A 16,560-nucleotide genomic window follows, 5' to 3' on the forward strand; every position below is an offset into this window, starting at 1 on the left:
AGTTAAGTACATAGACCACTGACACTATAAAGCAACCACACAATCAAGTCTGAATAATAACCAGCTAACAACACAACAACAGGATCAAATCCACACATGTCAATATTAACCTTGAATGTAAATGGGCTAACTGTCCCCAGTTAAAAGGCACAGAATGGCAACTTGGATAAAAGAGCACGACCCAACCGTATGCTGTCTTCAAGAGACCCATCTCATGTGCAATGACACCCATAAAGAAAACATTATACCAATATCCTTGATGAAAACAGATGCAAAAATTCTCACTAAAATACTAGCAAACCAAATCCAGCAACACATCAAAAAGCTAATCTACAGCAATCAAATAGGCTTTATTCCAGGGATGCAACGTTTCTTCAACATATGCAAATCAATAAATGTGATTAATCACATAAACAGAACTGAAAACAAAAACCAGATGATTATCTCAGTAGATGCAGAAAAGGCTTTTGATAAAATTCAGCATCCATTCATGTTTAAAACCCTCAACAATCTAGGCATTGAAGGAACATATCTTTAAATAATAAGAGCTATCTATGACAAACCCACAATCAACATCATACGGGTTGCACAAAAGCTGGAAGTATTCCCCCTTGAAAACCAGAACAAGACAAGGATGCCCACTCTCACCACTCCTATTCAACGTAGTACTGGAAGTCTTAGCCAGAGCACTGAGGCATGAGAAAGAGATAAAAGGCATCCAAATAGAAAGAGAAAAAGTCCCTGTTTGCAGATGCCACAATTCTATATCTAGAAAACCCCATAGTCTTAGCCCAAAAGCTCCTTAAGCTGATTAAAAAAAAACTTCAGCGAAGTCTCAGCATACAAAATCAATGCACAAAAATTAGAAGCATTCCTATACACCAACAAAAAACAGGCCCAGAGCCAAATCAGGAACACAATCCCATTCACAATCACCACAAAAAGAAAAACATACCTAGGAATACAGCTAAGGAGAAAGGTAAAAGATCTCTGCAATAAGAATTACAGGCCAGGCACAGTGGCTCACACCTGTGATCCCAGCACTTTGGGAGGATGAGGCGGGTGGATCACCTGAGGTCAGGAGTTTGGGGCCAGCCTGGCCAACACGGTGAAACCCCACCTCTACTAAAAATACAAAAATCAGCCAGGTGTGGTGACAGGCACCTGTAATCCCAGCTACTCAGGAGACTGAGGCATGAGAATTGCTTGAATCTGGGAGGTGGAGGTTGCAGCGAGCCGAGATCACACCACTGCACTCCAGCCTGGGGGATAGAGTGAGACTCTATCTCAAAAAAAGAAAAAAAAAATTACAAAACACTGCTTGAAGAAATCAGAGATGACACAAACAAATGGAAAAAAGCATTCCATACTCATGGATAGGAAAAATCAATATTGTTAAAATGGCATTACTGCCTAGAGCATTTTACAGATTCAATGTTATTCCTATCAAACTACCAATGACATTCTGCACAGAACTAGAAAAAGCGATTCTAAAATTCATAAGGAACCAAAAAAGAGCCCAAACAGCCAAAGCAATTCTAAGCACAAAGAACAAAACTGGAGGCATCACATAACCTGAGTTCAAACGATGCTACAAGTCCACAGTAACCAAAAGAGCATGGTACCGGTACGAATATAGACACATAGACAATGGAACAGAATACAGATCCCAGAAATGAAGCCACACACCTACAACCATCTGATCTTTGACAAAGCTGACAAAAACAAGCAATGGAGGAAAGGAAAACTTAAGTCAATAAATGGTGCTGAAATAATTAGCCATATGCAGAAGATTGAAAACCGGATCCCCTCCTATACCATATACAGAAATCCATTCAAGATGGGTTAAAGATTTAAATGTAAGACCTAAAACTATAACAACCCTGAAAGAAAACCTAGGAAATACCGTTCTAGACATAGACCTTTTCTGTTGAAGATGCCAAAAGCAATTGCAACAAAACAAAAAATTGATTAGTGGGACTCAAACTAAAGTGCTTGTACACAGCAATAGAAACTATCAATAGAGTAAGCAGATAACCTACAGAGTGGGAGAAAATATTTGCAAACTATGCATCCAGCAAGGGTCTAATATCCAGAATCTATAAGAAACTTAAATTTAAAAGAAAAAAGCAAGCAACCCCATGAAAATCTGGGCAAAGGGCATGAACACATGCTTTTCAAAAGAAGACATGCATGCAGCCAACCAACATATGAAAAAAAGCTGAACCTCACTGACCATTAGAGAAATGCAAACCCAAACCACAGTAACACACCATTTCACATGAGTTAGAATGGCTATTATCAAAAAGTCAAACAATAATGTGCTGGCAAGGACGCAGAGAAAAAGGAATGCTTATACATTGTTGGTGGGAGACAGAAGGTACAATAGTACTTTTCTTACAGGGTTCTGAGACTATAAAGTGAACTTAGGCATGTAAGAGAAATTCATGCAATAAAAGTACTAACAAAATAATTATTATGACAGATACTTATAATCATTGTGTTTTTACATATTCAAAATATGTTATACCTATAATTACCCTACTCAAGGGAATCTAAGGGCAAAAGTAATGTTATTTGTCTTTGTTTTCCTTGTTTAAGGGATCATGGACATTACAGTATATTTTGAAAGAACTGGTTATAAGAACTCTAGGAACAAATTAAACTTGGAAATATTAACTGCTATCTTCAGCAACAGGTCTGAGCTGTTCCCTCTGAGAACTTTAGCATGCATTGTGGGGAACACATGGAGTAGGGCTTAAAGTCCATTTTTTTTTATCACGTTATAAGAAGACCCCCAGGGTGGGTGGTGTCTCTGGGTTGATCGATTTCTGTAAAGGGCTCTGACCACAACTGGCTTTGAGACCACGATATTGGCAGGGAATGTTTATATCCCTCTGGCCAAAAAATATAGCGCTGACATGGTTCACCTTCTTCTGCAGGTGACCGTTAACGGCAAGTACCACATCACTGATGGTCAGTTTGGAAGCTCCTTCCAGATGTGGCAGCCTCTGGGGTTTATTTCTGGGAAGGATCAGCCTCAGGTGTCACTCATTTTCTGCTTGAGAGAGAGAGTGGATTCTGCTACCTGGATCACCTTAGAAGATGTCAGCACATTTCAAACTAAGATTTTCTTAATTCTGATCTCCGGGAAGAAAAGAAATAACAAAAAAAAATCTACTCCTTTACTCCTGAATCCTGAACAATTGAAGATTTTGAGTCTGTGAGTACATACCTGTAGACATCTCCAACATCTCCATTTACAAGCACATTATTTTGTTCTGTGCAAACCCCAGAAGGTATGCACTGCTTGGTGGGCTTCACTCTCAACTGTAGGAGATTCTGCTATAAGGACAATATGGATCTCGTAGAGTTTTAAATTCTGAAATAGGAAGAAGTTGAAGAATGACTGAAGAATATGTTTAATATATCCTTAGAGGGAAAACTCATGCCCAAACATGGTGATTCATCTTTTACTATTTAGAGTAAGAAACAAAATAAATCCTTGTGCATTTATTAGCCAGCTCACTAATTATCAACCGATGTCCTATCATATATCCTCTATACCCTCACATTATTTGGAGGAAAATTCTATATATCAAATCATTTCACCAATAAAAATGCCAGCATATATCATTAAACATCATTTTAAAGAATGATAACCACACATTTTCAAACTCATGAACATAAAAGCATTTTAAGGATGACCTGTGATTATCTTGGGAACCATAGTGATTTGTGTGAGAAAATATTTAATGCGGGTTTTTTGTTGACTTTATAGAAAATTTTTACTGGTAAATGAGTGAATAGAATATTACGGAAAAACTAATTGTCTATAAAGCATATGAAAAGATTGTTGGATAATATAATGTGAATTCAAGTTTTTCTTTAGGAGACTTAGGCTATTATGGGACTAGGTGTTTTTCCTCAATAAAGTCTTCCCTCTCATCCTTTCTCTTGTCTCCTGGTTATATTCTTTTACTTTCTTCCAAACTTTGCCATAAGAAAAAGAACATGGTTTTGGTATATAAATTCGATTTGAAATCCTGTGGACACTGGGTGAATTATTTTTTAAAACTGTAGCTCTGATTTCTCAAAGATAAAATGAGGATAATATTTATACAATTCAGTGCCAGACCTGGAGTAAACTTTCAAAAAAATATTTGCTACATGGATGAATGAATAATGTCAGTAATGTTTTAGTACTAGATCAGCATTTGATCAAAGTTCTCCTTCCATCTTGCTTTATTTCCCTACAGTTTGAAATTCTGGCTCCAGTTTCATCTGCCTGCTTCTTCCTTGATTAAATATTGATAGAAAATCAGATGCCCTGGATCTAAGCGTGTGTCTTGTGTTTCAGAATCTGAATGTTTACTTATCCATAACTCAGATTTTCTGTTCGTAGATTCCAGTATCAGGGCTATAGTTTAAACTTCAGACTGATTCTTACGTTACTCTCTTTCTCTTCAACTTGTGATCATTTTAATAAGCTTAAGAGAAAAGCAGGGACCAGAATGGAGAAATATTCGTTAAGAAAATAAGATACATTGGAGCATCAGTATTTTAGACAGCAATATAATAGTTGGGAGATACTGGCGAGTGTGAATGATATGCTTTGACTGTATCCCCACCCAAATCTCATTTTGAATTGTAGTTCCCATAATCCCTACATGTTGTGGGAGGGACCCAGTGGGAGGTAACTGAATCATGGGTGCACGTTTCTCCCATGCTGTTCTCATGATAGTGAATAAGTCTCACAAGATCTGATGGTTTTATAAAGGGCAGTTCCCCTGCACATACTCTTTTGCCTGCCACCATGAGAGATGTACCTTTGCTCCTCCTTCACCTTCTGCCATAACTGTGAGGCCTCCCCAGCCATGTGGAACTGTGTGTCCATTAAACCTCTTTTTCTTTATAATTTACCCAGTCTCAGGTATGTCTTTATTAGCAGCATGAGAACAGACTAATATCAAGGATTTCCTAAGAAGTGGTGGGTATGAGACCTGGTCTCAGTGAGAAGAAAGAATGAAAGAGATATGTCAATATTTGAAAGCTTGCCATCTTCCTTACTGATGGGCCTTGTTCAGCTATGTTGCTGTCTTGCAATAATGCCACGTCACTTCTGGTACTCTCGAGCAGAAAGAACTTTCTCATATTCCAACCAAGATCAGGCCAATGGAGGAAATGCTGGCAAAAAACTCAAACCAGATCAAAATGTGGCTCAAAGAAAATGATGCAGTTTTATACAATGAGTCAAGTAAGTCATGTTGCACAATGAATATCCTGTAACCCAAATGCAATTTTTTTTCTTGAATATATCTGTCACATAGGGGGAAAAGCAAAAATATGTTCAAAAAGACTCAAATATACAATTTAGCTTGCAGATTGAAGACTTCTGCTTTTACTATGCAATGTTAACCTTTTTCAAATGGAATCTAAATGAATGAAGGAAAAGAATCTCACCAATTGATTTGGCTAAAGATTTTGAGGTGGATGTTGATTCTTTGCATTTGTCCAAAACGTTGTCTCTATTTTTGGTGGCCCTCTGAAGAGTAGGATATGCCATGTCGTGTCAGAACCCTGAGACAAGTAAGTTAGAAGATCTAGTTGGAAAGGTTGAGGTGTTAAGTGTGTATGCTATTTCCTCTACCTTCACAGTGAAGCTGAGTGTGTATGTGTTAATCTCCCACTCTCTGTGCATTAAGCAAGGCAGATGATCTGGGACAAGCGTGTATATTGGTATTCAGGTGGTAGCCTCTGACCCTAGGGAGATACCCACTGGAAGTGAGCCCACCTGTTTGTTTTCTGAGGCTTAGGGATATTCAGGAATGCAAAGCCCCACTGACTCCGATAGCTAGGTCACTGGGAGAAAGTGTCTTTAATGGGAGCTATAGAATTTGTCGCACTTGATGTGTGAGACAACTTCTTCAAGAAAACATGAATAGGACTAGATTTATTACTGGGGTAAGCCAGAAGAAAGGCTCAGAAAGTACCATGCTGTGACTCAGACTGCAGGAGGGTTACTGTTTGTCTACTCTATTAGCTCACTAATACAAATTCATTAGAAGCCAGGCTGTCAAATAGTCACTGAAAGAATGTACAGAAAACCCCTTCTAGAAAGAAGATGGGAGCTGTGCATTCCAGCCTCTTTTCTGAACAGCACTCTGGGGATGGAGCCCCTGGAAGTGCTTAGACTCCCACTGAAAACCACCTATTTGTTCTGTAATCTAGAAAGACTCACGTGTGCATTCTCCCGTTCCTAGAGTTGGAAGGTTTTTAGGATGCAGTCAATCAAGTGGTAACTATAAGAGTTTGGGAACTCAATGCATGGCTCAAACCCCATTTGGGAATGAACAGGGAACTGCATTTTAGAGCCCCTTCTCTACATTCCTCCACTGAATGAAGTCCCTGGAAGTGTGTGCACGCTCATATAAAACTGCCACTTTTTTCTGTGGCCTACAGAGTGTTGTATATGCCTAGCCCTCTCTACTCCCAGAGCTAGGAGGTTTAGGATGCAGCCCCTTGTGTTAAAACTATAAAAGGTGGGGCACTCAATATGAGGACAAACTCATTCCAGGTGGGATTAATGGGCCTGGATTTATCAGTAGTGTGAGCCAGGGGAGAAAGCTCTGGAAAAGCCATTGTGTTTCTGAGGCTACCAGGCGGCTATCTGCCCCCTTTCTCCCCAATGCACATTAGAAACCAGACCCCCAAGTAGCCACTGGAACAGTGTGCCATAAACCCATTCCAGGAAGTAACAGGTAGCTGCATGTTTAAGCCCCTTTTATGCACTGCTCCTGGGGCATGAGGTCCCTAGAAATGCTTACAAACCTGTATAAAATCGCCACTTTTTCCTGTGATCTAGGGAGACTTACGTATGTCTACTTCTCTCTACTCCAAGACCTAAGAGGTTTAGGATGTCATATCAGATGGAAGTTGAAATAGTGGAATGCTCATCATGTGAACAAACCCTTTCCAGGAGGGATCAATAGACATACGTTTTCACTAAAAAAATCTGGCAGAGGCAGTTATCTAATGTGTAGAAACCAACACAGAAGGTCAAAGAAAATGAGGAAACAGGGATATATATTCCCATTTAAGAACAATATAAATCTCCCAAATCCAACCCAAGTGATGTGGAGATATGTGATTTACTTCACAGGGAATTCAGAATAAAGATAATAAAGATGCTTACTGAGGTCAGGAGAGCAATGTAAGAATAAACTGAGAATTTCAACGAAGAGAGAGAAAATTTTTAAGAAGTACCAAACAGAAATTATAGCACTGAAGAATACTATAACTGAAATGAAAAATCCAATAAAGTGGTTCAACAGCAGGCTAGATCAAGCAGAAGAAAGGATCAGTGAACTCAAAAGCAAGTCAGTTAAAGTCATCCAATCTGAGGAGCAAAAATAGAAAAGAATGAAAAATACTGAAGATAACTTAAGAGATGTATGGAACAGCGTCAGGCTGTACATCATATGTGTTATTGATGTACCAGAAAAGAGAAAGTGACATTAACCATATTCAAAGAGATAATGAAAGAAAACTTCCCAAGCCTGTAGAAGGAAATAGAAATACTAACTTAAGGAGTTCAAAGCACCAAACAAGGTGACTCAAAAGAGGCATACATTGAGAAACATCATACTCAAATTGTCAAAAGTTAAAGACAAAGAGAGAGTTTTTAAAGCAGCTAGAGAAATGCAAATTGTTATGTACAAGGAAATCCCAGTGATAGTATCAGCAGATTTTTTCATCCAAAATCTTGTAGGCCAGAAAGGAGTAAGATGATATATTCAAGACCTAGTAGGGGGAAGCCAACTAAGAATACTATACCCAGAAATCATGTCTTTCAAAAATGAAGGATTGAAAAAACTTCGTCAGACAAGCAAAAGTTGAGAGTTTATCACCACTAGACTTGCATTGTAAAAATTTCAAAGGTAGTTCTTCAAGATGGAGAAAAATGGTAATTAGTAACATGAAAATATAAATCTTACTGATAAAAGTAAGACTGTTTTAAAATCCAGTACACTCTAACACTGTAATGACAATGGGTAAGTCAATCATGTCTTCAGTATAAAGGTTAAAGGTCAAAACGATTAAAAATGACTAAAGCTACAATAATTTCTTAAGGGATACAAATGCTGAAAAGATGTAAATTGTGACATCAAAAACATAAAACATAGGAGGAAGAGGATTAAAACTGTAGAGCTTATATATGTGATTAAAATCACATTGTTATCAGTATTATTCACAATACCCAAGATATGAAATCAGCCTAAATGTCCATCAACAGATGAATGGGTAAGAAAGGATGCTGTATATATTCACAATGGAATATTATTCAGTCATAAAATATAATGAAATCCAGTCCTTCCCAACAACAATGATGGAACCAGAGGGCATTATGTTCAGTGAAATAAGCCAAGAACTTAAAGATAAATATCACATATTAAGTTATCCCACGAAAATGGTGAATAGAATTATGGTTACCAGAGGCTGGAAAGGGTAGGGAATAGGGGGATGAAGAGAGGTTTGGTAATGGATATAAAAATACCGTTAGATACAAGAAGTAAATTCTGATATTCAACAGCACATCTAGTAGGTTGATCATGGTTAACAATAATTATCATATATTTCAAGAGATTTGGCATGTTCCTAACACAATGAAATAACAAATGTTTAAGGTGGTAAATATCCTATTACCCTGACTTGATCATTAAACGTTGAAACAAAATGTCACATGTTCCCCATAAATACGTACAATTATTATGTATCAATAAATAAATGACAATTTTAAAAAGCAATTCACTACCCATCCCCAAAATTAAGCTGCTAACACCTAAAATAGCCTGTTACATGTATAAGGTGTTTTCTGTAAGCCTCAGCATAACAACAAAGCAAAGGTCTATAAAACATACACAAAACATCAAAAGAAAATATCCAACTCATATCATTACAGAAAGTTATCAAACCACAAAGGAAGAAGGCAAGAAAGGAAGAAACAAACAAAGGATCTACAAAACAGCCAGAAAACAATGAACAAAATGGCACTAGTAAGTTCTTACCTAGCAGTAATTACGTGAATATAAATGAATTTAATTCTCCAATCAAGTCACAGAGTAGTTGAATGGATGAAAAAACAAGACCCAACTCTATGCTGCCTACAAGAGACACCCTGTTTTTCCTGTAAGGACACACATGGACTGAAAGTGGAGAGTTAGAAAAAGATATTCCACGCAAAGGGAATCCAGAAAAGAGCAAGAGGAGCTATATCAGATAAAATAGACTTTATGTCAAAAATTGTAAAAAGAGACAAAAAAAGGTCATTACCTAATAATAAAGGGGTCGATTTTGTAAGAGGACATATTAATTGTAAACCTGTATGCACCCAAGATCAGAGCACCTAAATGTATGAAGCAAATATTAATAGATCTGAAAGGAGAGATAGACTGCAATACAGTAATAGTGGGCAACTTCAACACCCCATTTTCAGCAATGAAGAGATATCCAGATGGAAAACCAGGAAGTAAACATCAGACTTTGTGTTAGGCTGCTCTTGCATTGTTATAAAGGAATACCTGAGACTGAGTGATTTATAAATAAAAGAGGTTTAATTGGCTCACAGTTCTGCAGGCTACACAAGCATGGCACTGTGATCTGCTCGGCTTCTAGGGAGGCCTCAGAGAACTTTTATTCATGCTAGAAGGTGAACTGGGACCAGACACATCACACGGCCACAATAGGAGCAAGAGAGAGACAGGAGAAAGTGTGACACACTTTTAAACAACCAGATCTTGCGAGAACTCACTCACTATTGCAAGGACGGCACTAAGAGGATGGTGCTAGACCATTAATGAGCAATCCACTCCCATGATTCACTCATGTCCCATCAGGTCCCACCTCCAATGTTGGGGAGTACAATTTAACATGAGATTTAGGGGGACAAACAACCAAATTATATCAGACTTAATTTGATACTCTAGACCAAATGGACCTACTAGACATACACAGAACATCCCACCCAACACAAACAGAATCTTCTCAAGGTAACACAGAACACTCTCCAGCAAAGACCATATGTTAGGCCACAAAACAAGTTTTAACAAATTTGAGAAGACCAAAATCATATCAATGATCTTTTCTGACTACACTGGTATGAAACTAGAAATCAGTAACAGGAGGAGTCATTGAAAATGAACAAGTTTGTGGAAATTAAACAATATGCTCCTAAACAATGATCGGGTCAATGAAGAAATTAAAGGGGAAACTAAAAAATATCTTGAGACAAAAGCAGCTCTAAAAGGGAAGTTTATAGCATTACACCTATATGAAAAAAGAAGAAAAGTTGTCAAATGAAAAAACTAATGTTACATCCCACAGAACTAAAAAAAGAACAACCTATGACTAAAGTTAGCAGAAGAAAAGAAATCACAAAGATCAGAGAATATATAAAGGAAATAGAAAGTAGAAAAACTTCAGAAAATATCATCCAAAATAAAAGTTGAGTTTTTTTGAAAAGCAAAACAAACTGACAAAATTTTAGCTAGAAAAAAGAAAGGTCAAAATCAGAAATGTAAGAAGTGATATTATAATTGATAGCACAGAAATCAAAGATCATAAGAGACAACTATGAAAAACCATTCACCAACAAATTGGACAACCTATTATTTCATTCTAACAGCAGGAAGGTGAGCTTCTTAATAGGAACCTATCCTGTTTTTCAGAAACTTAAGGAACGGTGAGTTCAAATGCTGTTTTGGTGATCTGTAACACCATCCAGCTGCTTTCTCTGTAAATAATTATTAGTTTGTTTTTTTTTTCTATGTGTTTTTCAGAATAACTGCAATAGTTACAATTTAATCATTAGTACTAAACTTTCACTCTATCAGGCCACTGATTTGGGGGAGTTGTTATGCCATACATTCTAACAGAACCTGAAAATGCTTTCAAATGAATCAACACTCTACAGAGCTTTATTAAAGGGGTGGAAGATATGAATCCTTGAATGGGCAAATAAGTGTGGGCTTCCTGTTCTCTTTTTTCTTGGCAAATGATCTAACTCCTTTAGATTATCTCATTATTTTCCAGGGGTTTAGTCATCTTCTCTGACAAGTAAGACAAGAACTAAACCAGTACTGTGGTATTGTCTTATTCATCAGAGAAGATTATTGGCCAGACTGTGTAGAGATAGAGGTTTTGAAATCTCTCTTAAGCAAGAAAACTTGGGGAGATGATCAAATGCCTTAAGACAGCTTTTTTGTGGAATAATCAGTGTGAAAAACTTCTGGGGTCAAAATTATGTTGCCCGATGAGCACAGGCAGTCTACAAGGGGGTTCAGTAAAGATATGCAGGTCCACATACGACTCAAGAATGAATAGAGATCTGGGCAGATTATAAGCATGAAGGGAGTTTCCCTCCTTCTCATGGAGGTTTAAACTAGGTTCACAGTAGGCAGGGACTCTGCCTCATTTTTCATTTATCCAGGAGGCATGCAGTAAATATTTGTTGGATACATGAATGAATCATTCCAGGCTCTGTTAGCACAGTGCCTGACAAAAGTAGCGTTCAAAACTTATTATTGAATGATGGCATGAGGTATAAATATATGCTTTATTCTTGGAAGGGAATCTACATATAGCTGTGCTACTGGGGTCAACTTTACCCCACTCCACACCCACATCAAGCAGGCTCCTGAATTGGTGGTAGCCGCCTAGTGTGAGGTGGAAATGGACATGAACAGCACTGGCCCTGGGAGAGAGAGTCAACCTCCCTGTGCGATTCCCTGGCTCCTGCTGCTCCCAACCAGCTAGTCAGCCCTGCAGACCAAGGGAGAAGTGGGCATATGCCTTTAGTGATGGGGGGTGGGTGTCAGAGGAAGGGGGTGGAAATTAGTTTGGGGAAGGGAACCAGAAATAACAATGGATTTGAAATGCACCAGTTATAAAGCAATGGCTTGACTGAATTCAACCTTTTAATGGAATAATCTAACAATGAATTATCTCATTGTTTCCCCAGTACATGCTCTCTTTGTTGCATTCATAGAATCATAAAAAAATATGAGGGGGAAAGGAATTGTAGACACACTTGGCACCAACACCCTCAGTTTGCAAATTAAGAAAGAGCCCTTTACACCCAAGCATCCTCAAGTCACACACTCACTCTGATGGGTAGGGACTTTGTCACTCTTCCTGCCCTTTCACCCAGTCTTGTCCATCCCCAAGAAAGGGATTCTGTATTAGTCGGCTTTCACACTGCTATGAAGAAATACCCAAGGCTGGGTAATTTATAAAGGAAAGAGGTTTAATTGACTCACAGTTCTGAGTGGCTGGGGAGGCCTCAGGAAACCTACAATCATGGCAGAAGGCAAAGGAGAAGCAAGTACCTTTTTCACGCGGTGGCAGGAAAGAGAGAGAGCGAAGGAGGAACTGCAAAACACTTATAAAACCATCAGATCTCACGAGAACTCACTCACTATCGTAAGAACAGCATGGGGGAACCACCCCATGATCCAATCACCTCCCACCGGGTCTCTCCCTCAGCACGTGGGGATTATGGGGATTACAATTCAAGTTGAGATTTGGGTGGGGACACAGAGCCAAACCATATTAGATTTTGTCTGTAAACAAGTTAAAGATTAAACAAACTGAGCTGGTACTCCAGGCCACACCACCATGCAGGGTGTGGCTGGCCAGCCCTGAGGGATGGGAGAAGCAAAGACTAGGAAAGAACAGCCAATGAGGGCTGTCCCTGCATTCCGTGGTGACCAGCCTCTAGCAGCCCAGCCCCAGGGTAGTGAACAAAGTCTGCTTCCTCCAGGAGTGTTGACCTCCTATGTGAGGAGCAGCCACCAGGGTGCCTGCTAGATACGGTGAAACCAAAATTTCAAAGGGCAAGAAAAGAGGGTTCGGCCAAGGGGCAGACTCCAGCGTGGCAGGCTGGCAGGCTGAAGACTGCAGATTGCAGCATAAACAAATACTGAGGAAGTCAGGAAAAAGGTCACACTGAGCCATTAGGATTGCTCTGCTTCAGTCTCTGGCGTGGGAACTACAAGCTTCCAGGAGACAGGGACATGGATGAAAACGGATGGACAGGAAGGGAGGGATGGGCTTGGCTGCCATGAGGTGGGAGGCTGTAGAGCTGGTGAGTCTGAGGAGCAGCAAAACAATTCGGACTGAATTTCACTCCCGTGCAATGAAAAGCCAATCCCTGCATTTGTTCAACACCCAGGAAACGTATGCCAAGCTCCTCAGTCAGGCACTGTGAGAAATGAGACAGACAAAGCCTTCACTTCTCCTTCAGGGAGGAAACTGATACGAAAACAACGAATGTTGACCTAAAAACATGTTTCTTTTACTGCTTGTTGTAATGCACATTTAGTTTTTGTCTCCTGGCAAAGAGAAAACGGGATTAATTCTGACTGACACTTCTGAGAATGCATCATAGGGGGTAACATTTGAGCTCTTAGGATTTCTACAGGCCAAGAAGTCTGAAAAGGGTAATCAATTCAAGCCCTAACCTACTTTTACATTTTTACTCCTGTCACTCTCCTGGAAGCCACCCCTGGTCTGAAGCCCCTCCATCCCTCTCCGGGGTCACCCCAGCTCATGCTCATTCCCAATTCCCAATCCTAATTTGTGCTTTTCATGCCCCAAGAAAGGCAACATAGGCCTAGAGAAGCATAAACAAATTTGAATTCATTTTTATATCTCTGTTAAAATGCTCCTTTCTGTGAAACCTTTTTTCAGGTCACCGAGACACAAATAATGGCTTCTTCATTTGTGTTCCAATTATACCTAGTATGCCTGGCCATTTCAGAGTCTGTCATGGCGTGTTATTTATTTGTTTGCCTCACTTCATCTCTGACTGGGTTGTGAATGCATTCACTTAATCAGCACTTATTGGATACTAACCATGTAACTAGCATCTGCTTGATAAAAGTATATAGAGATAATACATTTTTCTGAAATGAACCTACAATATAATGTGTTGAGGCTATAGAATTCACTGCACTCAGACATACAGATAAGAAAAAATGGGATTCAGGAAATGGCTACTTTGGTGTGGCTAATGCAAAGAATTACAGAATTATGCAGAGAGTTGTAACATAACAGTCAAGAACCAAAAGTCAAAAGGCAAGGTAACAAAATTGACTTAACTATCAATTCCATGCATTGAGCTAATGTCATGGTTTTAGTTACATACTTATGGCAACTAGCTATACAAAACACAGGCATTCTGTTAAGACCTTTAAGCTAAGTTTTGAGACTTCTGTTGTGCCACAATGCTTTTTGCAGCCTTTTTAGTAATTTGTTCTAAGGTGGCTGATTAAAAAAATTGTATATATCTATCTGCATAAACCTCATAACTGGGGGCATTACACCCAGGAGGCTTTGTAACCAGGTATCTTGATATCTTCTTAGTAATTTTCTTTTAATTCTGTGAGAAGTAGGAAATTCTTTATGGTTTGGATGGCTAAAAAGGGGTCATACAATGACCCAGGAAGCAAAGTCCCTTATTTTGCCAGCTATTTAAGCATCTGTAGGCCTGTCTTTGATTTAGAGGATCTAACTTAATTTTTCTTTCACCAACCAAGAAGCAGCATCAATAATTTTTATCCCTCAAATTTGGCCCTTACAGTCTCACATTTCCACCTCTTCTGTGATAGTGGCTGGGCCTAGAGGGAAGGTGTTTATACAGTTTCAGCAGTGGAGCATTAGCAATGAAAATAGATCAAGCTCAGTGGATTCTAAATGGTTTTTAAACTTCAGAGATATCAGATAGAGAGGAGAAAGGTAATCTTTGTTGTCCTACCCCATTTTGTAAGCCATGTATAGAATAAGCAATGTTTTAAACAAAAAGGACATAAGCGCAGCCTAGCTCTGACAATGACAGGAAAAGGAAACTCATAGGTATCTGGACAATTCAAATTATCTGGCATTAAGGCATAGAACAAAGTATATTAAGATGAAGGAAAAATTACTAAATCAATAGTTATGATTTAACTGGCCCAGTGTCATATGAAAGCAGTTTATTTTGACTGTCATCTTCTCCCAGGTCTGAAGATGAAGCTTCAGTTAACTTGAATTTAGTGTCAGATACCAGGGTTGACATTTAAGATTCAATAGAAGTCATGTATCCCCTTTTAGATGAGATAGGTGTACCCAGGGGTCAAAGCCTCAAAATTTAACAGCACAAAGATTAGTTAACAAGATTTGATAGAGATTTTTTTTTTTTTTTTCTGGTAGCAGTAGAGTTCATTCAAATGTGCCGTAATATAGGCGCTGGGGCTTGCCCACGGTGCTTTTGATATATAAGGCCCAGACATTCTGCCAGTTTTTCTTGAGCAATGACACCAAGAAGTTGACAGCCAGGTGAATGTTTTACACAAACTCATCGCCTGTCATCTTCACATGGCCAACAGTCACAGCCAGACATAACACCTTCTTCATTTGGAACTTGATTGTGGACTTCACCTCGTCCCCTTTGGCCACCATGTTTTCGTTGTGTGTGAGCAGAGAAGGGAACTTTCCTGCCTTATTTAGGCCTGGGCCGAGGATTCGTGGGATCTGCTTGATCAGAGACTCTGAAGCCACAAATGCGTCATTCTTCTTGTCCAGCGTATTGACCAGTTTCTTACTCTCGTTGAGTTCTTTCATCATCTCGATGTTCACGTCGGGGATACCCACGGCCCTTGCCTCTTCACGGTGCTGCTGGTCCCCCAAAGAACAGAGGGAGAACTTGGAGTGGGGAGTGGACTTAAGACTGAGAAGCATTTGTCCTTCTGGGGATCATAGTTCTTCAAGCTGATCTGCAACTCCACGGTCTCCAAAAACTTCTGGCGCTTGTGCTGGTTCCCTCCCAGGACTCTTTGCACTGCCTGGTACCAAGTGTCGCCAGAGACCCTGCTGCTCATGGCTTCTCACACAGCACTAACCATAAAAGAGCAAGACCTCTTTTTAATGGAGGGAATCCCCCAAATGATATCTAATCATCCAGCTGAAGATGGAGATATTGGAGTTTATGACTCATTTGGAAGCTGTAGAAAGATGTTATAACCTCAGGGTGATTCATTTTTATAATTTTTCGGAGGGCATTACAATCTTTGTCTCTTTGGAGAGTCAAAAGACTTTTATTTACAGCTTTATTATTATTTACATGCCACCAAAATTCATCTGAGTTTAATCAATTTGCATTCATGTTGATTGCCTATAGATTTGGATTTAATTCTTCCATCATAGTTTGTATCTTCCATTCACCTCACTTAGTTCCTAGGTTTTATTCTTTCCCTCTCTCTGCCCTCCTGCTGGATTGAGATCTTTCCACCTCATTCCATGTTTTTCCCTTTTAGTTTATACCGTTTCTATCTTTTGGTGGTTATCTTAGAATATGCATATTTAAATTCTAACTTTTACTCCTTACAAATAAAAAACCTGAGAATAATTCAATTCCAGCCACTTCTATAACTTACATATCATATTGTCCAATATTCTAGATATACCTTGATTTTTAAGCCTACAAATTACAAAACATTGTTTTATACCTGCATTGACCAATAA

The 16,560-nt window shown here is 39.0% G+C and overlaps 2 pseudogenes; one reads left to right on the forward strand and one right to left on the reverse strand.

Moving 5' to 3' along the window:
- On the forward strand, positions 1,910-3,878 carry NATP (N-acetyltransferase pseudogene; annotated as a pseudogene).
- RPL10AP11 (ribosomal protein L10a pseudogene 11) lies at positions 15,243-15,948 on the reverse strand (annotated as a pseudogene).

The sequence above is a fragment of the Homo sapiens genome, chromosome 8, assembly GCF_000001405.40.
Source record: "Homo sapiens chromosome 8, GRCh38.p14 Primary Assembly".
Classification (NCBI taxonomy): domain Eukaryota; kingdom Metazoa; phylum Chordata; class Mammalia; order Primates; family Hominidae; genus Homo; species Homo sapiens.